We start from the raw sequence: 26,237 nt of genomic DNA, 5'->3' as shown, positions 1-26,237 counted from the left end.
TGAGCCCAAGAGTTCCAGGCTACAGTGAGCCATGATTGTACCACTGCATAGCCTGAGCAACAGAGAGAAATATTGTCTGAAAAAAAAAGTTGTCCTGTAGGGTAGGTACAATCATCCTTCCCATTTTACAGAGATGGAAACTGAGCTTGGAAATACTTAGTGACTTGTCTAGCAAGGGCAAAGACTGCAACAAAGTCATGAAGAAATTAGAGAAAGCTGTAGGGTGACAGAGAGTCAAAGGCACTGTCCAGGAGTGTCACTGCTGTTGGGGAAGTCTTTGTGAGGAAGGAGGGGCTTGAGCCAGGCCTGGGGTCAAAGTCTGAGAGGGAGAATGTGTGAAAACATTATGAACAGAGAAGTGACAAGAGCGGAGTTGCAGAGATGGGAATGAGGAGGGAGGAAAGGAGGGAGAGAGACAGAGACAAAGGTTGATTAAGGCAGTGGGGTGAGAGAGTTGCCAGTGAGGGCTTCAGCTGCCTGGGACCATGGGACTGCCTGTGTTGTGAGTAGAAAGGAATGAGGTTTACTGATAGGGGTCTTAGTTATTCTTAAGCCTGCTGAGGCAGTGCTATACGCAGCTTAATTTAATCTCAATCTGCATGATGAGTTAGGAGGAAGGACACCTGGCTTTCAGAAACCTCATGTAGTCCCACTCCACTTTTGGCCTTGTGAAAGGCTGCAGGAGTGTGTTGCAAGCTCAACTTCCACCCTGAGAAGAATTTAAGCAGGTTCTGCTGCCAGTGCAACCCTCCAGGTGCCAAAGACCATCCCCTGGGTGCACCTCCAGGTTGCAGAGGGTCTGTGACCAGGAGCCGCCGCCCCCCGATGCCTGTGAAGACACCTATATGAGGAGATTCCATGGTAGGGCCCCTCTCCCTTCACCAGAAGTGGAGAGAGCCTGTTAGTGTCATGCCAGCAGTTGTAAAAGGCCACCCCCAGGGTCGTGATCACTGCCACCAGCATCATTACATGCCACACACATCAAAATTAAACAAACATGAAAACTGGACGAAAAAGCATTCCACTGTTTGTTATAAAGTTGGATATGGTTTTTCTAACTAGTCTGTCATTCTGAGAGATGGGAAAACTTAGAAGAATTTTTCCTGCGGTGAAAATGACTTTTTTTTTTTTTGAGGTAGCAGTAAAAATTGTTAGTAGTTGCTCCAGCTGTCCTGAAGCAGCCCTGTGCACGAAGCCTCCTGTGTCCCTCTGTGTTGGCCCAGTGAACCCAGTCGACACCATGGAACCTCCCCTGTGTCTGGCCCAGGGCCTTCTGTGAAGAAGGGCAGGCCGGCCAAGGGCTGCAGACAGGTGCTTAAGTGTTTCTGGGAAAATGAAGATTGAAAGATGGCTCAGAACAAGTGCAGAGGAGAATTTTCCATTTTTGTTACGAACTCCTAGTTAGGACAAGTCTCAAGTCCTTTGGCAGGGCATTTCTTTCTTTCCTCTGATATCTCCCCACCCCATTTTTCTTTCTATTAAGGACATGAGAAAAGTTAAAAACAAACAAAAAAAACATTAAATAGAAAAAAAAGAGATTTAAAAAATCTTCATGTTAAGAATCCTTTAGCAACTATCAAACCTCAGTTAACAAATCCATGACAAAATGAGTTCATTCAAACCTGGCCAGCCTCCACCCTCCTGCTGTGCCCTGAGGTGTCAGCAAACTTCTTTATGGTCTGACTCTCCGTGGCAGGAGCTTCCTGGCATAGTGTGGGTCCCAGAGGAGGCCATGGACTAGAAACTGTATTTCTCAAAGTGTGGGCACTCATCCACCTTCCTCTCACTCAGCTGGGAGCCTGGTTAAAAACACTGATTTCCAAGCGCCTCCTCTACCTTCTGAACCAGAAACTGCATTTTTAAGCCACCTCACTCCTTCAACACCTCCAGGCCTCTGCCCAAATGTCTCCTTCTCCCGAGGTCTTCCCTGACCATACTATTTCAAAGAGCCAGGTGTGCCTGCCCTCTCTCACCCTCTTGTCTGACCCTGCCATATTCCTCTGCACTTCAGTGATTCTGATGCCCCCTCAATTTGATGGGATTTAGAGCCAGAAGATTGTTTCATCTCTGTAGGCCTCAATTTTCTCATTTATAAAATGGAGATATCTTCTAACTAGAATAGGAAGAAGTGCATGAAAATACACTCAAAGCCATGATAGGGACATGAAAATGACCACCGAAAAGAAAAAGTGCCACTTTTCCTCGGGTGGGTTTATTGCACATCTCATCTAGCTGGGATCCAGATCTTGATTCCCAGCCTTCAAGAAGTTCAGCCTCTTTGAATTTCACTGCAATTCCCATAGAAATTTGAGCAGTCACGTTGGCCGGAGGTCTGGCTTTTCTCGCCCTGGATAAATAGCTGCACGTGGGCTCAGCACCGTTCTAGCTCCAGGTCTCCCCCTTCTTCAGGGAAGGGCTATCTGGCTGCTGTGCGTCTGTATTACTTTCACTAAAGAATCTTCACGTTGTATTCTTGTGGATGGATGCCCAAATGGGCCGTAAGCACTGAGCTCAGCTTCTCAGGTGGCCAGAAATGAGCACGAGAAATTTCCTAACATTCTGCCCACCCCAGGAGCTGCCAATTGGTCAGATTAAATTTGTTAACGACATTGATGAGCAACACCTAGCTCAGAAATCCAAGGCTTGTTGTATCCCAAGCCTTCTATCAACACCAATTGGTGTGAGAATCACTGGCGGGGTGGCTAAAGTGTAGATTGCTAGGATGCACCCAGAGAGTGGAACTGGTAGGTCTAAGGTGGGCCCTCAGAATTTGCATTTTTAACAGAAATCTCAGGTGATCCTGATGCAGTGGTCTCTGGAATCCACCGGGAGAAATGCAGCTCTCCGTGTGAAGGACTGCATGGTGCTGTGCTGAGGGTGTAAGTTGTTATTCACCCCTTGGTGAATTTCCTTGATGCCTCATGCTGTTGTCAGAACTGAACCCCACAAACCTGCTCCTCCTCAGTCTCCCTATCTCAGTAACTGGCAGCTCCACCCTTTTGGTTTCCCACATCAGGACTGAACATCATCCCACATCCAGTCTACCAGCAAACCCTCTCGGTTCCACCTTCAGAATATCCCAGACCTGGGCCCTTCTTATCCCCTGTACCAGCACTTCTTACCACCAAGGGACCAGCTCCTGTCTGATTTACTGTAGTCGGAGCATGTTACTCTTCTGCTCGAAACCCTCTAGTGCTTCCCATCTCACTCAGATGAAAGCTCAAATCCTTCCTGTGATCTCTGAGACCCTGCATGAATGACCCAGGCCACCTCTTCTCTCACCATCCCTCCCACATGCCCACACACCCCTCCTGCCTGACACAGCACCACGCCTGCCCTCATCTGTGGGGTTCACTCCCTCACCTCCTCCTGGCCTCTGCTCAGTCACCTTCTCCTGAGGTCTTCCCTGACCATGCTATTAAAAAGAGCCATGTACACCTGCCCCCTCCCACCCTCTTGTCTTTCTCTGCTGTATTTCTTTGCACAGCTCTTACACATCCACCCCACTAAGTAATTTACTTGTTTATTGACTGCTGCTGGGGAGAATGTAAGCTTCAGGATGTGAATTTTTGTCTCTTTTGCTCCCTGCCATGTCCTCAGTTTCTAGACTAGGTACAGGTCTATAGTGAATGCTCAGTAAATACTTGTTGAATTAGTGAATGAATGAACAAAAATTGTAAGAAGCATTTACCTTTCACCTAACAAGCTGCCATTGTAAATGGTAAGTGTGCAAACCTGTGTGTGCACTTGGGTATGAAGGCAGGCGTGGAAGAGGGATTATAAATGGAGGCTTGCCTTCCCCCGGATTAGGGGCTGATCCATCTTCTTTCCTTCATGTGGCTGTTATGAAGCTGAAAGAGACAGTGTGTGTTCTTGGCTCAGTAAGTACCATCCTAAAAATACAATATTCCACAAAACTGTTTAAAAAGACTCCCAGGTTAGCTTAACAGTAACTAGTTAGCCCATTGTAATTACAGTTTAAGTCTCATAATAGCCTTTCATGGGAGCCTGCTCATTGTTATAACTTCTTTTTCTGTAATAGAAAAATGTAGTACAGCTTCCAATCTATTTATAAACCTTTGCACAGTTGCACTTGTAAGTTGCTGGCTGCATCGCCCTGCCTCTTTTTACTTAGATAAAAGCTATGACTCCACCTAGTTTAACTCTCCATATCTAGACTGTCTCTCCTCCATCTTCTCTCTCCTTGTTTCATAATTCAGCCTCAGAATAAGAATTGGGTTGCAGAATAAGGCTTCACAAAATAACTGAAATAAGATACAATCCAAGCCTGTTATTTCCTTAATTTGTGGGCAGAACAGCTTGTAAAGTTTGGATTGATTTTTATCTGAATATTATGAAAACGGCTTTTTTTTTTTTTTTTTTTTGAGATGGAGTCTCTCTCTGTCGCCCAGGCTGGAGTGCAGTGGTGCGATCTCGGCTCACTGCAAGCTCCGCCTGCCAGATTCACGCCATTCTCCTGCCTCAGCCTCCCGAGTAGCTGGGACTACAGGCGCCCACCACCACGCCTGGCTAATTTTTTGTATTTTTAGTAGAGACGGGGTTTCACCGTGTTAGCCAGGATGGTCTCAGTCTCCTGACCTCGTGATCCGCCTGCCTCGGCCTCCCAAAGTGCTGGGATTACAGGTGTGAGCTGCCGGGCCCAGCCAAATGGCTGTTCTTTAGACCTATAGCAGATTGCCTTTTTACTTGGTGTTCAGAAGTACATTAAGAAGAAATGCGACTTCTGGCAATGCAGGGGTGAGGAAGAGGTGTTCTACTTATTTTAGAGATGAGGAAGCTGAAAGACAGTTTGCATAGTTTCCACAAAGCCCCCGAGGGAGGGCTGAGGTTGAGTCCTAGAGCTTGGCGCTTTCTGCAGCCCCTCATTCCTTGAGCTCTGGGAGAAAGTCCTGATGGCCCTTAAGCCATGAGCACACTGGTGAGTGTGTGAGTCCCTCCTGTAGCTGCTTCCTTACACTTAGTTGTGAATTTCTGAGCTGGAGAAACCTGAGATTTTGACACATCCAAGTTACATTCATTTCCTTTTACTCTAAATGTTTTTTTCCCTTTCTTAAACTAATAGACAGTGATACAGTTTTCTTCACAGCCATCTATTTTACCATGATCCATCCTGGGTTTTTTTTTTTTTTTTTTCTGCCTTGAGTTTTATATCACTTTTCTGTTTAAGTTAAGCTTGTCACTTTCTTGTTTAAATAAAGTTGAGTCATGCCTAATTTTCTATTTTTATCAAACTGGAATTTCTTAGCCAAGTCATCAAGGCCCTATACTAAATCTTGAGTCATAACTTCATTCCTACTATGTTCTAATCAGATTTTCCACTTGAACCTACACTGTCTGTCCTGCCAACCCTCAGCTTGCTGCTTTCCCAAGGATCTGCAGGCAGCACTCCAGTACTGTTCAAAAGCTAATGCCGCTGCTGCTACTCTCATTTCTTACCTGTGCTGTTTTTCAACATGCTGTAATAGTCATCTCGATAATCTTCCCTGCTTGCTTCTACCATTAAACCCAGTTTATAAAGTATGACTCGAATTATACTTGAAGTCTGTGCTGATTAACCCCAGACATGTGGTGACCCCTAATCTAGTGCTCATGATCTCCGTACTTGGATCCCATTGAAGGGGTCGTGGAGAGTAGCAGTTAAGATTCTCCAGCTAGATGTCCTAGGTTCGGTTCCCACCTTTGCCACTCACTGCCTATGCGACTTCAGGTGCTTTAGTCTACTGTGCCTCAGCTTTATCTGCAAACGGGTTAAAAAATTGTCCCTGGCCAGAGTGGTGGCTCATACCTGTAATCCCAGCATTTTGGGAGGCCTAGGTGGGAAGATCACTTGAGCCCAGGAGTTCGAGACCGAGACCAACCTGGGCAACGCAGGGAGACCCCTCCCCCCAACCCACCCTACCAAAAAATAAAGTAGGCAGGTGTGATGCATGCTTGTGGCTGCGGCTACTCAAAAGGCTGAAATAGGAGGATCACTTGAGCCTGGGAAGTCGAGCTTTCAGTGAGCCGAGATGGCACCACTGCTCTCCAGCTTGGGTGACAGAGCAAAACCCTGTCTCAACAACAGCAACAAAAAAAAGTCCCTGCTACCTAGGGTTGTTGTGCAAATTAAGAGTTGTTGGCCGGGCGGGGTGGCTCACGCCTGTTATCCCAGCACTTTGGGAGGCCGAGGCAGGTGGATCACGAGGTCAGGAGATCAGGACCATCCTGGCTAACATGGTGAAACCCTGTCTCTACTAAAAAATACAAAAAATTAGTCAGGCGTGGTGGTGGGTGCCTGTAGTCCCAGCTACTCAGGAGGCTGAGGCAAGAGAATGGCGTGAACCTGGGAGGTGGAGCTTGCAGTGAGCTGTGATCGTGCCACTGCACTCCAGCCTGGGCGACAGAGCGAGACTCCGTTTCAAAAAAAAAAAAAAAAAAAAAGGTTGTTAAATGTAAAGCTTGTATATGTTAAGCGCGATTGAAGTGTTAACTTTGTTATATTTTTATTTGCTGATGGAGGTCTTTATCTTGGTGACATTGTACCTATAATGCTATGTCTCATTAGCTCCTTTACTTTCTGTTCTCCCTGGGAATACTGGGTAAAGATTGATCTTTGGATTTCTTCCTCCCCTCCTGTCTCCTCGTTTCCAGATAGACCTGGAACACAACTACCACTTGGTTTTTCCTAAGAGTAGGGTGGGTGTCCTCCTTCATGCCAGCATCCGTGTCTCACACTAGAATTCCATGCCATCCCTGCTCAACAGCATGCTCCTGGAGTCTCCAGCCAACTCCACCTCCTGGGGATGTGGAGGCAGAGGTGTGTGCAGCCGCTTGGCCTCCTGGTGGCCATGCTTGGGATTGGCATATTTCCTAGTGCCCCGGAGAAAGCACCCTCCTGTCCATCCACAACCCCCGCCACACCCTACCCCCTTGGCTATTTCCTTTATGAACTATGGCATTTGCTCCAGTTTCCCCATTTCTTTGCAGCACAGATGGCCCTCTTCTTTTAATGGGCAGAATAAGTAGGAAATGGAAGAAACAGCTGCCAGAGCACTGAATTTATCCTAGTCCTCCATAATTTCTTGGAAGATCTGCGAGTGGGGCCCAAGCTGTCTGCTACTGCGTGGAAATCATGCTTGTACCATACCCATCATAGTTAAACCCTGCCAAGGGCATAGGGCATTTTAATAGCTTGAATCCCTGTTGTTTTGCCCTCCTCTGTCCCCTTCTCCCCATGCCTTTTCTTTGAGGTAGGTGCGTGTGTTCTTTAAGACCCTTCCCTCAAAACAATCTTGGTAGCGAGACCAGCTATTATCTTTTTTAAGTTCAGTGTTCCCTAAAAGAAGGATGGTTAGACATAAGACATTTGTTAGCTTCTCTATTATGTCTTCCTCTCAGGATGTGTTTAGGTTGAACCATATAAAAGTGCTGATATTTAGCCCTTTTTGACCCACAAAAATAGTGGTTTCATGAAGTTCAACCTAACATGTACTTACTGGTTTGCTTTCATTTTACTGCACTCAAACCCACGGGTGCAGTCTCATCTTAGTTCACCAACTCTGCAATGGGACCCAGCCGGGAGCAGTAAGCAATTCTTCTTGCCAGCAGACAAAGCAGATTAATTCCCTTGGGTTGAATGTTATGCCGGTCTCTTAAACATCAAAAACTGTTTGTTATGATCTAAACTGCTTCTATGGAGCAGATGTTGTGTCCCCGATGCAGCAGTGACATTGGAATCATTTAGTCCTTTTAAGGCAAGTTTGTTTTATTTTTCAGTCTTCACGTATAATGCTGCCAACAAGGAAACCTGTGAACACAACCACAGACAATGCTCCCGGCATGCCTTCTGCACGGACTATGCCACTGGCTTCTGCTGCCACTGCCAATCCAAGTTTTATGGAAATGGGAAGCACTGTCTGCCTGAAGGTAATTGACTGGGGCCAGGAACTCCTGTGTGTCTATTCCTGCTGCTTACCTGTTTCCAGCTACCACTGTGAGCTCTGCTTTATGGACCAAACATCTCCACTACTTAAATCAGAGTGCTATCAACTTGCAGGTGCTCAATAAATGTGTGAGGAATGAACTGGTTTGGGCTGATTCCCAATTTGAGGATTATCCAGAAATGCTTCCTTCTGCCAGCTCATTAGAGCCAAAGTGTAGTGGAGTAGAAGGAGGAGGGGAGAAAACAGACTGGAGGCAGGACTGTTTCATAGATGGATAATTGGTTGGTTAGGAAATCATTAAAGTGACTTGCTAAAGAGTGAGTTTTGGAAGTTGTCAGTGGAATAATTATACCTGGGTACACCCATCTCTAGCCAGGATGACGTCCAAGCCTAACTGGATTTGCTGTCTTTTAGGGGCACCTCACCGAGTGAATGGGAAAGTGAGTGGCCACCTCCACGTGGGCCATACACCCGTGCACTTCACTGATGTGGACCTGCATGCGTATATCGTGGGCAATGATGGCAGAGCCTACACGGCCATCAGCCACATCCCACAGCCAGCAGCCCAGGCCCTCCTCCCCCTCACACCAATTGGAGGCCTGTTTGGCTGGCTCTTTGCTTTAGAAAAACCTGGCTCTGAGAACGGCTTCAGCCTCGCAGGTGAGTAGGGCCTCTGAGAAGGCCGGTAGTCAGCATTGCTTTGGCAGTGGTGCTCCTTGGGGCACTGTCTTTAGGCCTTTACGCAGTGACAGAGGAATCACTTGTTTAATGTACTAGAGCCACATGTGTGTAGTTTTCTGGCCACAGGTTGTTGGGAATGGTTTGACCTCACATCACTGATTTTTGAAAGGCAGTGATTTCGTCTAAATGTTCTCCCAGCTGTTCTGAGAAACAGGATGATTCCATTCAGAACATTTGTGTCCTCTTACCCCAATTTGTTGCAGCATATTTGTCAGGCTTTTTAAATTATGCACAGATCTGTCAAATGCAAAAATGGTACTTGGGGCACCTGGGGATGATTTTACTTCATGGGGAAGGGGTGCTCTTCTCCTCCCAGCTCCACAACCTATAATAGTATAGGCCGGTGCACCCCAGACTTGAACCTGCACACACATCACTTGGAGGTCTTGTCAAAATGTAAATTCTGGTTCAGCAGGCCTGGGGTGGGGTCCGTGATTTTGCTTTTCTACCAAGCTAGGAGGTGAGGTACCAGTGTTGCTGGAAAGGCCACCCGTTGACAACAAGGATTTAGAAGATACTTTTTGGATTCTCACCTTCCAACCTGAAAACTTGTTTGCTAGAGGTTTTATCTTTATTGCATTAAAAATAGTTTTGTGAGAAGTTCTTTCTCCATCTTTAACTGCAGAGCTCGGTAGCTGTTAATAGGTTCTTGCTTTAATCAAAATTTGAATAAAGCCCTTGGGTCAAAAGTAGATAAAAAATGGCACACCTGGATAAATTTGTATTTCAGATAAACAATTTTCTAGTATAAGTATTACCCACATATTTCATGAGACATACTTATCTGAAATTCAAACAAAACCCTGAATGTCTTAGGTGGTAGTTTATTTGTTTTTGTTTTTTTGTTGTTAGGTTTATTTGTTTGTTTGTTTTTTGCTAAGTCTAGCAACCTTAGAGAAAAGTCAAGGACGTTCCCAAGAGTATTTCTCACAGAATACAAGCTTGTTCAAAGAGAAGCTGGGTGAGGTAAGGCAGGATGAAACCATATTCTTCAATGGAAAAGTTTGGGAACTTATGGAATCAACAGCTGATAGTGCTTACTCTCAGATATCAGATAATCTCCTTAGGCACGATCTCCAACAGCAGTAGAAATTGGGAGCGGGCAGTATATACTGGTAACTGTTTAAGCAAGACCTCTTTTCATCCCTGTGCTGAATGTTTTTCATCTCCAGGTGCTGCCTTTACCCATGACATGGAAGTTACATTCTACCCGGGAGAGGAGACGGTTCGTATCACTCAAACTGCTGAGGGACTTGACCCAGAGAACTACCTGAGCATTAAGACCAACATTCAAGGCCAGGTGCCTTACGTCTCAGCAAATTTCACAGCCCACATCTCTCCCTACAAGGAGCTGTACCACTACTCCGACTCCAGTATGTATAACCAGTCTTCACATCTGTAAAATGGGGATTATGCCCATCTCACAAGATAGATACAAGGCTTAAATGACTTACATGGCATGTCCTTAGAACAGTGCATGGAACATAAAATGAGCTCTATTATGTTATTACTCTTATTGTTACCATGAAATATATCGTGTAAGTGAGCAGAATGGCTGCTATACATAAGAATATCTATATCCCTACATAGTATTTTCAAATAATAAAATCAATAGCAACATTGTCCATGGGGTGGGTAGGGATGGTATAATTATATACAGTTTTTAACCATCCTACTTTCTGCAACATGGAAAAATAGTGATTATTGGAATTTATATTTATCTCAACCTTGTTTCAGCTGATGAGTTCAGGCTGCTTTAAAAAAAAAAAAAATCACAGAAAGAGGCCAGGTGCAATGGCTCATGCCTGTAATCCCACCACTTTGGGAGGCCAAGGTGGGTGGATCACCTGAGGTCAGGAGTTCAAGACCAGCCTGGCCAACATGGTGAAAACCTGTTTCTACTAAAAATACAAAAATTAGCAGGGTGTGGTGGCACGCTCCTGCGATCCCAGCTACTTGGGAGGCTGAGGCAGGAGAATCATCTGAACCTGGGAAGTGGAGGTTGCAGTGAGCCGAGATTGTGCCATTGTACTCCAGCCTGGGCGACAAAGCAAGACTCCATCTCAAAAACAAAACCAAAAAACACAGAGATGCTATAATTTATTATAAAACTAATGCTAGATTTGGAGTCAAAAGATAAGAATTTATATCCTGGACTTGCCATTTAATATCTATAGGGAAAGGCCTCTTAATATCTGAGAATGTATTTTCTCATCTTTCACATGGAACTAAAAATGCTTTTTCTATATTATGTGATCAATGTGTGCGAAGCGTGATGTGTTCTGTGAAAGTACTACCTGCGCACAGGATGCTGCCTCCATCACAGCTGCTGTTGTGCAGCACAGCAATCCGGATTGAGTTGTGCCTTTCCTCTGACCCCTGCTGCTCCTATGCTGAGAGCTGGCAGCCTGGCAGGAGATGTAGGGAAGACAAGGGGAAGCAGAGACCTGGGCTGTGAACAAAATGGTCAGTGTCCGGATCACTGACCTGAGCTTGACTCCTAGACTCAGATGGTGAGAGACAACCCTTTCCCTTCTCTGGAATCCTTCAGATTTACTGAAGTGCGAGGTGTTGGAAGTCGTCACTTCTGTGAAATGTAGAAGATGGATTGGTTTAAAATTTAGGGTGTAGAGTCAAACCAATGTGAGTTTCAGTTCCAGCTCTACCATGTGGCAGCATTGCATCTTAGGCTACTTAACCTTTGTGAGCCTCTGATCACATGATTTAGTGCCCACCTCACCAGGCTGTTGTGAGGAATAAATGAGGCAGTATGTAGAGAGCACTGTTGGCATGGCTGGCCCTTAGTAACACTTATTCTTTGTGTATAATAACATGGACAATTGTAGTGCCTTCTCCCTCTCAGCACTGTGGCTTTGCATCCACTCAGGTTTTTGGGATTTCCTTACACATTTTTTCATATAAACTCAGGAGGTTCCCAAGGGAACACACTCCAAGAATTAGATGAAAAAAACTGCAGAAAAATCCACCTCACATGAAAATCTCTGTATTTAATATTTTTAAAAAATTACCACTGTGTTTGTTGCAGCTGTGACCTCTACAAGTTCCAGAGACTACTCTCTGACTTTTGGTGCAATCAACCAAACATGGTCCTACCGCATCCACCAGAACATCACTTACCAGGTGTGCAGGCACGCCCCCAGACACCCGTCCTTCCCCACCACCCAGCAGCTGAACGTGGACCGGGTCTTTGCCTTGTATAATGACGAAGAAAGAGTGCTTAGATTTGCTGTGACCAATCAAATTGGCCCGGTCAAAGGTAAGGTTTCCTTTTTTGTTGTTGGGTAAAAATGACATCCTTTTAAGTAGAGTTAGAATGATTCACAGAGGTTACTAAGGGTTACCTAGTGCCATGCTGTGTTATGTGCTAGGTATAAGGATGAATAGAGCAGATCCTTGCCCTTGAGTTGGAAACAGAGGCAGAAAAGAGTTTTAGGGCAGGGAACAGTGTCCCTGCCAAAGTCAGGAAATAGAGCATAGTATGTGAAGCTGGTTTATAGCAATACCCAACTGTGCGTGCCAATCAGGAATATACCTGTGAACAAGGCAGACTGGAATTAGGAGGGAGAGTGATGCTGACAAGTATTTGTTACAAGTGTGATGAGAGCAGGGCACTGTGAGTCTAGTTTGAAGATTCAGAAAAGATGTCCCCAAGAAAGTGACATTTTAGCTAAAACAGATGAGAAGAATTTCATCCAAAACTAAGGTGGAGCAAAGAGCTAGTATCTGGAAAAACCAAACATCATAGAACTTGATGTATAACCTCCCCCTCCATGATTCCCAGAACATTATACTTAATGGTGAAAGACTGGATGCTTTTCCCTGAAGCTTAGGAACAAGACAAGGATGTCTGCTGTTGCCACTTTTATTCAATTCAGTACTAGAATTTCTAGCCAGGGTGATTAGGCAAGAACACAAAATAAAAGCCATCTAAATTGGAAAAGGACAAAGTAAAATTAGTCTCAGATGACATTTTGTGTAGAAAATCTCAGGAATTCACTAAAACACTATTAGAACTAAAGAACAAGTTCGCAATGTTATAAGATATGCAAGATCAGTACACCAAATTGTATTTCTCTATAGTAGCAATGAGCAAACTAAAGATTAAGAAATTGTTTCAAAAAGAGATAAATTTTTAAAAAGAAGTGCAGTACTTGTACATTGCATCCCACAAAACATTTTTGGAAAAAAATTTAAGACCCAGTTAAATGGGAAGATGTTCCACATTCATGGATTGGAAGACTTAATACTGTTAAGATGTGAATACTTCCCAAATTGATCTATTAATTCAACATAATCCCTATCAGAATCTCAGCTGGCTCTTTGAAGAAATTGGCAAGCTGATTCTAGAATTTATATGGAAATTCAAAGAACACAGAATAGCCAAAACAATCTTGGAAAAGAATAAAGTCAGACTTGTATTTCTCAAACTCGAAATCTAGAGTAATCAAGACAGTGTGGTCCTGGCGTAAGGATACATGTAAAGATCAAAGGAACAGAAGTGGGAACCCAGAAATACTCACATTAAAAGTCAATTGCTTTTTCAACAACAGTGCCGGGAGTGGGGAGGGATAGCATTAGGAGATATACCTAATGCTAAATGACGAGTTAATGGGTGCAGCTCACCAACATGGCACATGTACACATATGTAACAAACCTGCACGTTGTAAACATGTACCCTAAAACTTAAAGTATAATAATAATAGAATTCTGATGGTTAAAAGACAAAACAAAACAAAAAACACAGTGCCAAAACAATTCAATGGAGAAAGAATAGTCTTTTAAACTATTGTTAACTATGGTGCTGGGACCACTGAGTGACCACATACAAAAGAATGAAGTTGAACCTTTTACCTCACAGCATATCCAACTCAAAATGGGCCAACAGACCTAAGTGTAAGAGTTAAAACTTTTAGAAGAAAACATATGGGTAAATTTTTGTGACTTTGAATTTGCTAATGGTTTCTTAGGTACGACACTAAAAGCACAAGCAACAGCAAAATAAACTGGGTGTCATCAAAATTTTAACAGTTTGTGCTTCAGAGGACATTATTAACAAAGTGAAAACACAGCCATAGAATGGGAGACAGTATTTTAAATCATGTGATATTTGTTCTAGAGTATACGAAGTATCTTACAACTCAATAAAAAAACAAGCTAACTAAAAGATGGGCAAAAGCTCTGCAAGGACCTCTCTCCAAAAAGATATACAGATACCCAATGGGCATGTGTAAAGATGCTCAGCATCATTAGTCATCAGGGAAATGCAAATCAAAACCACAATGAGATACTACTTTACATCATGTGGTCGAGTATAATCAAAAAACGGGTAATAACAAGTGTTGGCGAGAACATGGAAAATTCGGAACCCTCATACGTTGCTGGTGTGATTATAAAATGATGTGGCTACTGTGAAAAACAAAATAGTGGTTTCTCAAAGTGAAACACAAAGTTACCATTTAATGGAGCAATTCTACTCCTTTCTATATACCCAAAAGAAATGAAAACATAGATCCCCACAAAAACTTATTCGTGTATATTCATAGTGGCAGTATTCATAATAGCCAAAAGGTGGAAGCAACATACATGCCCATCAGTTGATGGACACCAAAAAATATATTCATATACTGGAATATTATTCAACCATAAAAAGGAATGAAGTACGGATACATGCTGCAACATGGATGAACTCTGAAAACCTTAAGTGAAGGTAGTCAGTGACAAAGGACAGCATACTGAATGGTTACAATTATGTGAAATATCCAAAATAGGCAAATCCACATACATAGAAAGCATATTCATGGTTGCCCAGGGCTAAGAGATAATGAGAGCATAGGGCGTTAATAGCTAAAGGGTACAGGGTTAATTTTGGGGGTGATGAAAATGTTCTGAAATTGATTGTGGTGACGGTTGGATAACACTGAATAGACGAAATTGTTTAATTATGTACTTTAAACGGATGAATTGTATGGTATGTGAATTACTTCTCAACTGAAGGCCAGGCATACTGGCTTATGCCTGTAATCCCAGCACTTTGGGAGGCTGAGGTGGGTGGATCACCTGAGGTCAGGAGTTCAAGACCAGCCTGGCCAACATGGTGAAACCCTGTCTCTACAAAATAAAACATATATATATATATATATATATACACAAAAAAATTTAGCCAGGTGTGGTGGCATGTGTCTGTAGTCCCAGCTACTCAGGAGGCTGAAACAGGAGAACTGATTGAACCCAGGAGGCGGAGGTTGCAGTGAGCCAAGATTGTGCCATCGCATTCCAGCCTGTGCAACAGAGTGAGACTCCGTCTCAAAAAATAAAAATAAATGGAAGCAAATAGTAGTAGAAACAAAACTCTAAAACCATTCTCATCGGGTACAGTGGCTTACACCTGTAATCCCAGCTACTCTGGAGGCTGAGGTGGGAGGATCACCTGAGCCCAGGAGTTTGAGGCCAGAGTTGGCCACATAACAAGACCCCGTCTCAAAGTAAGCAGTGGTTCTCAAATTTTAATGACCATTAGCCTCACCTGTGAAGACTGATTTTAAAATGTTCTAGGCATATCATGTCACAGAAAGACATGCAGGAAACTTAAAAGCATGTTGCTCTGTGAAAGCAGCTAGTCTGAAAAGGCTACATACAGAATCATTCTAACCATGACATTCTGGAAAAGGTTACACTATAGAGACAGTAAAAAGATCAGTGGTTGCCAGTGGTTCAGGAGGAAGAAGGAGAAGGATGCATAGGTGGAACATGGGATTTTTAGGGCAGTGAAACTATTCTGTATGATATTGTAATGTTGGTTATAGGCCATTATGCGTTTGTCAGTCTATAGAACTGTCCAACACCAAGAGTGAGCCCTACTGCAGACTATGGGCATTAGTTAATAATGTGTCAGTATTGATTGGGGATAACAAATGCACCACACTAATGCACAATGTTGATAATAGGGGAAACTGCACATTTTGGGTGGGGGGATATGGGAGCTCGTACTTTCTGCTCCATTTTTCTCTAAATGTAAAACCATCCTAAAAAGCAAGGTCTTAATTATTAAAAAATGTTTCAAGCAAGCCAGAGGATGAGCTTGTGAAGTCAGGGAACTCTACAGATGGGAAGTGGCTTTGTCAGATCAAGGGGACATTTTAATTCTGAAAACCAGGTCATGTTTTCCCCTAGAATGTAAGAGCCACACCAGGAGAAAAAAACCATCTTCCTCAATTCAGCCACTGTATTGAAACTGTTGAGCCCAGAGTTAGCTCCTCAGTGAGGTGAATCTGTAAGTGATACGCGGTTCTGTGCTTTGTTATTGGAGCTGAGGGCTCCTTAAGCCTCAGCAGGCTCAATAAAGAAGTGTTGCTTCAGCAATATGACAAGATTAAGGTACAAGGACTAGACTCTTTTCTAGGATGCGAAAGTGACTTGTAATGAGAATCCCGAGGTGCTTTGGTTTTAAGAAACTTGGTTGGGAATGTAGGCATTAGGTGCCCAGATATTGGATTGTAAGGTAGCAAATGAACACATGAAAATGTGAGTTGATTTTAGAGGAACATGTAAATTAGAAAGGGAAAGATTGCTGTAGTAGATTTCTCAAAGAGAGATTTAAACCTACTGGGGAGAATGGTCTTTACCTTTAAATGTCCAGGTCAGCCCTGTGTTGGGTGTAGGCATCTGATCTGTAAAAGCAACTGTTAGTGAAATTTCCCAGGCTATGGAGTCCCATTCAGATTCTGGAACCATTTAGGAAAAAGATGTGTCTCTGGGTATATTTTTCCTAGAGACATACCAAATGAGAGTAAGAAAGGATCAGAGAAAGCAAACTGGCAGGTACCAAGTTGCTTGTTTTCTTTAGAATTTTATGATTTTCCCTCCCACCCCAGTCAAATAATAATATCAAAGGATGGTTTACTTGGTGCCAAGTACTGTTCTAAGCACCTTACATGAATTAACTCATTTAATCCCCACAATGACCTCTACCCAATGGTGGGGTGGGGGTGGGGTTATTTGTTATCCCATTTTACAGATGATGAGACTGAGGTATAGAAATGAAGTAATTTGCCTGGTCATAGTAAGTGACCTGGGTGAGCTGGGACTCAAACTCAGGCACTGGCTCCAGTACGCACACCCTTACCCCTCATGGCTCTGCTGTTCCACAGTGGCCTCATGACTGCCTCATAATTTAGACCAAACTTTGAAAGAGGCAATGTGTGTCTTTTAAACCCTTTGTGTTTGAACCCTACTTCATCCACACACAGCAGTACTGTTCATTCTACCTGAATAGGAGGGAAAAAAAGAAAAACAAAAAAGAAACACCCAAAAGTTTTTTCTTTCCCCTCTTGGTACACAGCAGTATCTTCCTAAGAACTGCTCAGTTTTTCCAGAGGGAACGATAGTTGTTGGAATTCATGTGAAACAGCGCAGCTGTCCACACCTGATGTGGGTGTGGTGCGACTTCCCAGGGCGAGGATGCAGAACTGGGGTGTCTTTCCCAGTGAGTAATTGGAGCCTCTGTCCCTCGGTGACTTCTCAACCAGCAGTGCCACCCCCCACCAGTTGTTTGAGCTTTAAGCTTTAAGTGTGAGTCAGCTGTTTTTTGTTGTTGTTGGTTGGTTGGTTGTTTTGTGGGGTCATAAAACACGATCCAAAAATGCTTCCTGTCCTTCCACTTCACGGGTCCTTTTGGCGAGTTGAGGAGGCTCTGGGCAGAGGGCTGTGCAGTGAAGCTGAAGGGACTGTTCCTTTAAGGAAAACCGCTCTTCCCCTTGATTAAATGAGTAAATTAGTTCCAGATCCTCTGTTAAGAGAGTCAGGCAGTTTAAGAGGGTGAGGGCGAAATAGAAAATGTCTTAAGAAGGATACTGTGTTCTTTACTTACTATAATAGGAGAAAAGCTTACAAGTCATAGAGAATGAGTCGTGAAATGGTTTTAGAAATGTATTTTAAAAATGTTTTGGGAAGCCAAGTTCAGTGAATGGGGCCCTGTGCTCAGAAGAGCCCCATGCTTGGTTTAACGCTTTGCTTTGAACCATGGGCTCCACATTTTCATTTTGCACTGGGGATTGCAAATTATGGAACTAATCCTGTCAGTGACATACATTTTAAATCAGTATTGAGTAATTAGGGACACTTTCTTCTCAATTTTAGGTAGGATAATATATCCTGTCCAAGTTTGCAAGTCAACTTTTGAGCTGAGATTTTTTTTTTTTCTTTTAATGCCTAGCAGGGTGGTAAGCTCTTGATGTCCATGTGAACACACTAATCTTTGCTGGAATGTGCCATGGTGAAATTTTGATGCTGGAAAGTACTGAATAAGAAGGCTAAGCATTAGTATTTATAAATCAAAACATGTTGACAATTACTTCCTGCTTTGGTGGGGTATGCCAGGCATTTTGTACAGAATCTTCCTAAAATGGAGAAATGATGGGAGATGATCACGTTCTTGTCTTACATTGGGTCCTAATGGATGAAGACATGACCTTGTCCTTAGTTATAACCTATTGAGGACTGACTCAGGAACCTGGTCTAGGCTCAAGTTAACTCGGCAACCACAACCCCAGTGCGGTGCCTCTTTCCTGTCAGCCAAGAGATCCAGAGGAACGGACCTCCAAGGATGTCTGCATGCTTCAGGGAGCTAGGCTTATGCTGACATAGTTCATCAGGTTTAAAAAGTGCTGGAATTATTTATTGGTCCTTTGTTTTGGCAAAGATTCTGTTACTCCAGCCGACAACATTGTGGTGAACTGAGGATAAACCCATAGCCCTCCTTATTTTCAGCCAATAATACGGGAATCAATAATACGGGAATATTCCACTACAAGAATGCACTGTGGTGTTTCTTATAAAGTGGGATGGAAAGAGTTTACCAGAAAACAAGGCTGTCTCAGCCAAGGCATCCCAGCTCACAGCAGGCTATGACAGGGCACTGGAAGAGCCATAACGTGGGCAGTAGGGCAGGCACGGGGGAGAATGCCAGACACCCTGAAGGACTTGGGAGCGAGTCCAGTCTATGAGGTCAGCTGCAGCAGTCAGCACTTGGGATCTAGATTAGGAGTCACTCTGGGCAAGTCTCCCCCCATAGCAGTGGGGTTGTGGTTGCCAAGTTAACTTGAGAGTATAGACCAGGTTCCTGAGTCAGCATCTGTTACAATGGAGAACAACAGGGTCATGTCCTCATTGAAGGCTCAGTATAAGACAAGAACCTGATTCTCTCCTGTTGTTATTTCTCCATTTTAATAGAAGATTCTGTACAAAGTGGGGTGGGAGACACGGGTCAGAAAGAGTGAAATGATAGAGAATCCAGGAGGAGGTGGTAAAATGGGTGGTACTGCCAGTGTCTGCCTACAGATGCCATGATGCTGGTGTCTGTGAGTAGTGAGAACTGGTGAGCAGGATGGGACTCAGAGGATGCTAAGCTGGCTATCAAGACAGGGCCTCAGGCACAGAAGTATGAGGCAGAAGCCTGAGTTATTACAACTTAGATGGATCTCCCTTTGTAGCAGAGATGGCTCAATGTAGAACCTGACAGGCTTAGCTGGGGCTCTGGAAATCTTTTGAGTCTAAGATTAGAGTTAATTCTAGGGACTGAGGTTGAGCTAGAACCTCAAATAATGATGAACAGTGGCCCCACTGAGAAGGCAGAAGGAGTGCAGTCAGTAGAGACTGGGTAGACCTGCCAATGGGGAATTGCCTTTCAAATATGTTCTGTTGGGTTTTCTTAATTTTCTTTAGCAGGATTGGCAGATGTACATGTTCCTATTTCCATTTTACATGGCAGACTCAGAAGTACACAGAAGTGCCAGAGTTGATAGATTCATTCTACCTGAGCATCTGACACTCCTTCCAATACCTCTGTGCCATTGGCTTAGACTAGATAACTTCATGAAGTTCCTTCAGTGAGGGTTGCAGCAAAGCGGTGGAAAGCATGAGCTATGGAACCAGACTGCTAGACTTTTATTCCAGCTCCATCCACCTCTTCTGACTGTGTAACCCTGGGCAGGTTATTTGGCCTCTCTGTGATGCAGCAGAAGTGGAGATAGTATTTTCCTCACCATGTAGTTAGAAGGATGTAATCAGGCATCCTCCTATCTGTTTAGAACAATGCCTCACACATAAATGCTCAATGAGCATTGACTATTATGTAGAAATAAATATATATATTTTAAGACATGGTCCTGTTCTGTCACCTAGGCTGGAGTGCAGTGGCACAATCATGGCTCACTGCAAGCTTAAGCTCCTGGGCTCAAGTCATCCTCCTGCCTCACCCTCTGGAGTAGCTGGGACTACAAGCATGGGCCACCATGCTCGGCTAATTTTCTTTCTTTTCTTTTCCTTTTCTTTCTTTTCTTTTTCTTTCTTTCTTTCTCTTTTTCTTTCTCTTTCTTTCTCTTTCTTTCTTTTTCTTTCTCTTTCTTTCTTTCTTTCTTTCTTTCTTTCCCTTCCTTCCTTTCTTTCTTTCTTTCTTTCTTTCTTTCTTTCTTTCTTTCTTTCTTTCTTTTCTTTCTTTCTTTCTCTTTCTTTCTTTCTTTCTTTTCTTTCTCTCGAGATAAGGTCTTGGCATATTGCCCAGGCTGGTCTTGAACTCCTGGCTTCAAACTATCCTCCTACCTCAGCCTCCCAAAGTGCTGGGATTACAGGCATGAGCCACCATGCTCAGCCAAAATAGATTTCTCTAGGGGAGATTTCAGTCGTTAAGTAATCGCTACCTAGTGAGTAGATGGATCCTTGGTAAGGCTACTCCTGAAGAGTAAATACTGGGAAAGTCATTCCTGTTTAGTCTTAGAAATCTTTAAAAAACAAGATTTTTAAAATTAATTGGATTTACCTATAAAAATTGGGAATTTTAGTAAGAGATCAACAGATTTAGAACCAGGAAGTTGGAGTCTGAGTCTTTGCTGTGCCACTTCCTGACTTTGTGAGCTTGGGCAATTTTTCCCATGTCTCACTTGATTTCCTTATCTGTGAAAATTACACATAATGGGGAAAACAACTCACCACATAGAATCATCCCAAGAATCACAGGAAATAATAGAGCAAAAGCACTTTTAAACAGATGTTTTGGGCGTTTTTATTCCCTGGATGCAAACCTACTGAAAGCAAGTAAAGGTACTAGTTGTCTATAGGGTAGGCAATAGGAAGCCATGCTGGAGTTTAAAACTGAAGTGCAGAAAATCCACCCTAGCTTCAGATATGGATAATTTAGTAAGGTCTTCCGGTGTGTCACAAAACACAGACATGCAGTCAGTTCCGAGGACTCCTCTATCTCCGTGACATTTGCTTACCAATAGCCAGATTGTGCTTTTATTTCCCCTCTACTCATGCAGAGGATTCAGACCCCACTCCGGGGAATCCTTGCTATGATGGGAGCCACATGTGTGACACAACAGCACGGTGCCATCCAGGGACAGGTGTAGATTACACCTGTGAGTGCGCATCTGGGTACCAGGGAGATGGACGGAACTGTGTGGGTAAGAGCCATGTTCTCGTGTCTCCTTCTTGTAGCCCTTGTTTTTCCTCTGCCCTCCCCAGCCTTATGTCTGTAGAAGACAAGTATCTGTCACCTTTACAACCTCCATTGTCAATGATTTTAGCAGCTGTTAATCTGAATATAGTTATTTAAAAATTAAAGCATAGCTGTTTATGTTTGAAAAGATGGTTTGGAGTGGAGTGGATTTTGCACCGGGGCTGTGAAAAGAAAACATCTGTTGCAGTTCCTGGATGTTTTGAGTTAAGTTTTGTAATTTTGAGCTTTTGTAGTAAGTAGTTCTTAGACTTACCAAAAAGCACATTTTCTGATTTTCTTTAAATTTTAGACAGACATTGTGTGTCTTATATCCCCAAAAGGCAACGGTAGAAATTTCTTGATATTAAAAAAAATTGTTGGTTTTCTTCCAAGTATCCATTCTTTTTAAAACAGTTAAAGAATTCTTAGAATATTCACTTAAAAATTTATCTTCCTGTGGTGTTTACTTGAATGGCATGAAATTTTTACTATTTCTGATTATCTGCAACATGCATTCATATCTGATTTTTAAAAATTCTACATCTGCCAACCATTTGTCCCATTGAAGCATCATACTAGTGAGAAAACATTGAGTTTTTAGACCCTCCACTTCTGGGACCCTTGAATTAAGCAGAATTTTTCTCTTCTCATTTCTTCTTAGATGAAAATGAATGTGCAACTGGCTTTCATCGCTGTGGCCCCAACTCTGTATGTATCAACTTGCCTGGAAGCTACAGGTGTGAGTGCCGGAGTGGTTATGAGTTTGCAGATGACCGGCATACTTGCATCTGTGAGTTCCAAAATCATTTTCCTGTGTGGCCAAAATGGTGCTCTTTAATCTTGCTCTTTAATCTGTCAGTGTTTTGACTTCTGCTATTCAGAGGCTCTGCTATATGGTTTTCTTAAGAAGACAGTTTACATCAAAATAACCCAAAGCTGGCTGGATGTGGTGGCTCACGCCTGTAATCATCGCTTTGGAAGGCTGAGGCAGGTGGATCGCTTGAGTTCAGAAGTTCGAGACCAGCCTGGGCAACATAGCAAAACCCCGTCTCTACAAACAATACAAAACATTAGCCAGGTGTGGTGGCACACGCCTGTAGTCCCAGCTACTCAGGAGGCTGAGATAGGAGGATTGCTTGAGCGCAGGAGGCAGAGGTTGCAGTGAACTGACAGCATGCTAGTGCATTCCAGCCTAGGTAATAGAGTGAGACTCTGTCTCAAAAAAACAAAAAAAAAAACAACAAAATCTCTCAAAGCTATGGCTCAGTTTCAGCCCTGTTTATTTTCACTGTTTTTCCCTAAATAGATATTTTTGGTGTTGAGTTATTGAAGGATGCCCACCTCAGTTGGGATTTCTGGCCCAGTCATGTAACAAGATGATGAACTTCACTAGTAAACACCTCCAGCTCTTTAGATAGAGCCTAAAGTATTTTTCAAATTAGAAGAGATGGATTTATAATTCACTGATGCATGTCCTACTTGACTGGCTAAAGAGCTCCTTCTGTAACAAATTACCTCTTCTGTATTTCCAGAAAATACTACAGACCTAAAAATGGATCAAAAGAACTATCCCAATTCATCCCATTGATAAAGATGGATGAGAGTAAAGAAAATGCACTCTTTAGCCAGGCATGGTGGCTCACGCCTGTAATCCCAGCTACTCAGGAGGCTGAGGCAGGAGAATCACTTGAACCAGGGAGTTGGAGGTTGCAGTGAGCCGAGATCACGCCACTGTACTCCAGCCTGGCGACAGAGTGAGACTCCATCTCAAAAAAAAAAAAAAAAGAAAGAAAATGCACTCTTTAATTCAGTGGGATGAGGGTAAAAGTGACAGGAGAAACTGCGTGTGTGTGTGTGTGTGTGTGTGTGTGTGTGTGTAGCAATTGCTCTGGAGTGTTATAAACTTTAATTGAGGACTGCTTAGGTGATGGGTTTTTGTGCTTAGTATTTTAACAGCAAATTCATACCAGTACTTGAACTTTAATAGCATACAAACCATCTAGGAATCTTATTAAAATCCAGATTCTGAATCACTGGACCTTGGGTAGGGTCTGAGAACCTGCATTCCCTGGTCTGTTGCTGTTGGTCTGTGGATCATGCCATGAGGAGTGAGGCTCATCCTTTGCAGGCCTAAACTCTGGATGCCCTTATCTTCTTCTCTTTTCAGTGATCACCCCACCTGCCAACCCCTGTGAGGATGGCAGTCATACCTGTGCTCCTGCTGGGCAGGCCCGGTGTGTTCACCATGGAGGCAGCACGTTCAGCTGTGCCTGCCTGCCTGGTTATGCCGGCGATGGGCACCAGTGCACTGGTGAGTAACTGCAGGTCAGCCTCAATGACTGGAAAGTTGCTTTGGATGCACATCCCCACATAGATGGAGCTCTCCCAGAAAAGACAAAGGACTTCCTTTGACTCTAACAGCCTTGTGGCTGCCAAAATAGTGAGAAAAAAGCGTCCTTTGAGTTAGAAAGGGGAGCCAAGGGTGATTTCCTCTGGACTAGATGGGCGAGCATATATGGCTTCCTTGGCGGAGACGTTCCTGTAGCACTCGGGAGCTTCTAACCTTGGTTCCTTGGAGCCAGCGCAGGCTGGAGGAATTTAGGGAAAGTTGCATACCTTCCTGTTAGGCGGTCTCCACCTTAATTCAACACTTATGGTTGTGCTCTTCTGCTTTAAGTGATATTTTAAGCAATCTCTAAACACATATGTAATTTCTAATTTTTCTCCTCTTTCAAAAGAGAGAACTCCACATATATAAAAAGACACATATCAAAACTTTTCTCCCAGAAATCTATCTTTAAGACTTAATGCAGTATTTTATAAAAGCACCAAACCATTTGCAAGGCTAGCCATTGGAATTTAACTTAGAAAGAATGTGTGAGGTTGTTATTTAAAGGCTCGACATAACTCTCTGAGTATAAATGTCCATGAAACTAGGATTAGGAGTACTTTAAAATAGAAATCATTAAATAAATCTTAAATCACAAAAGGTTTTCCAAACATACCCTGTGGTATGTGATCAGATTGAAACTCAGTTTCACGTGAGTCACACACACACAGTTAGGGTAAAACGACACACTGGGGATGAGAGAATGGTGGGAAACGTGTTTAGAATGGGAAAGGGCCTGCTGGGGAACATGAACCTTAAAAGGCAGACTTTCCCCTGCTCCTGGTGTTGCTGTGTGCATCTGCCTCCATCCGCCCAGGCCCACCGAGCTGATGTGCTAAGAACAGCTTTGCAATTCCTGGGAGCTTTATACCAGATCCGAATAGCACGGGCCTCCCTCCTCCTCACCAGATGTTTGATTCTCATCCTTCTCCCATTCCTTTTTCCCCTTTGGTTTCAGCAGGATGGGCTGAGTGGACAGCAGGCTGAGGCCATGTGTTACTGACAGAACAAAGGTCACTGTGACAGCAGCTCAGCCCTCCACTTCTCTCTGGATGGGGCAAGTGCACATGGTGGTTTCTGAGCCTCATTCTTACTCTTTCCACTTGTGCTGTACAGAAGCTCTGCTGCATGGTTTTCTCGAACAATTTATGCTGAACTAACCCAAAGCCGTGGCTCAGTTCAGCCCTTTTATTTTTTTCTTTCACTAAATAGATACTTTTGGTGGTGGTATTGAAAGTTGAAGCTATGGCTTGAATATTCGTCTTCTTCAAAACTCATGTTGAAACTTACATTCCACTGTGGCAGTATTGAGAGGTAGGGCCTTTAAAAGGTGATTGGATCATGAGAGCTCTGCCCCTATCAATGGATTAATGGGTTATCTTGGGAATGGAACTAGAGGCTTGATAAGAAGGGAGGCCTGCCTAAAATAACATGTTAGCACACTCAGCCCCCTCACCATGTGATGTCCTGCACCACCTCAGCCCTCTACTGAGAGTCCCAACCAGCAGGAAGGCCATCACCAGATTTCAACCCTTGACCTTAGACTTCTCAGCCTTTAGAACTATAAGAAATAAATTCCTTTCCTTTAGAAATGACTCAGTTTCAGATATTCTATTATAAACAACAGGAAATTGACTAATACAGATGGTAACCCTCAGTTGGGATTCCTGTGTGTCTTGGTATTAGGCCCAGTAATGTAAGAAGACTATGGACCTCTTGAATAAACACCCCTAGCTCTAGATAAAGAGTATTTCCCAATTAGAATGAGGTAGATTTGTAATTCACAGATGTTTGTCCCACTTAACCAGCCAGGAGCTCCATCTGTCATAGATATACTGGTGAGAAAACATTGAGTATATCTATAATAGATACACTCTTTACAGATACCCTCTACAGGTATGGAGTTCAGGGTGAGGTGCCAAAGCCTGACAGTGGGAATGATGCTTTTCCTTCGTGTGGAACACATCGTTTGTTTGGTTTAACCCTAGTACCAGCTCTAAGAAATGTGAATCCACTGAGAAAAATCTTGTCTGTAGAATTTATTTAAACATCTGGCTGCTCAGATCAGCAGAGATGGTGCTTTTAAAATATTTAGTTCCTTAGCTCTCTGGTTTAAAGCAAAGAAGTTGAAATTAATTTCAGCCTAGATATGATGAGTGTTAATCAGAATATTAATTTAGATTAGATGCTGCATGCTTTGATCACTTCTACAATGATTCTCTCCCTCCTTTTTTCTTCTACTTGTCCTGCAAGACTTTGATTACCTTCTGGGGTCATGTTAGGGCTCTGAAATTGACTACTTTTCCATATTGGGAATTTAAGTATTGTCATTTTTTAATTTGCCCTATTTTTGTCATTTTCAATTGTCCCTATTTTATTTCTGGTTCTCTGCTTTTAGGATTCTTTCCAAAGCCTACAAACTAAAAATATGCCAAACCCATCAGGTGCTTCCCCCAGTGTATTGGTTATCTATTGCTGTATAATAAATTACCCTAAAATGTAGCAGCTTCAAGCAATAGACATTTAATATCAGTGGTCCAGGGACCTGGGAATGGCTCAGCTGGGTCCTGTGCTTTAGGATCTCTCACAAGGCCACAGTCAAAGTGTCTGGTGGGTCAGTGGTCTCATCTGAAGGCTTAACTGGGGAAAGAT

The 26,237-nt window shown here is 43.3% G+C and overlaps 1 protein-coding gene across 4 annotated transcripts in view; it reads left to right on the top strand.

Moving 5' to 3' along the window:
* Positions 1-26,237, top strand: part of NID2 (nidogen 2) — a 64,251-nt gene that overhangs the window by 18,352 nt on the left and 19,662 nt on the right. For 2 of the 4 annotated variants that reach the window (NM_007361.4, XM_005267405.5), the window contains 7 exons: positions 7,777-7,926; positions 8,358-8,603; positions 9,857-10,057; positions 11,731-11,961; positions 21,018-21,161; positions 21,858-21,986; positions 23,364-23,507. In NM_007361.4, coding sequence (NP_031387.3) covers positions 7,777-7,926; positions 8,358-8,603; positions 9,857-10,057; positions 11,731-11,961; positions 21,018-21,161; positions 21,858-21,986; positions 23,364-23,507 — 1,245 coding nt within the window. The remainder of the gene's footprint in view (positions 1-7,776; positions 7,927-8,357; positions 8,604-9,856; positions 10,058-11,730; positions 11,962-21,017; positions 21,162-21,857; positions 21,987-23,363; positions 23,508-26,237) is intronic. The other 2 variants (XM_005267407.5, XM_005267406.5) reach the window with 1 other exon arrangement.

Source organism: Homo sapiens, chromosome 14, assembly GCF_000001405.40.
Source record: "Homo sapiens chromosome 14, GRCh38.p14 Primary Assembly".
Taxonomy (NCBI): Eukaryota; Metazoa; Chordata; class Mammalia; order Primates; family Hominidae; genus Homo; species Homo sapiens.
Note: the sequence above shows the minus strand (reverse complement) of the source record. Positions and strands in the feature narration are given on the sequence as shown.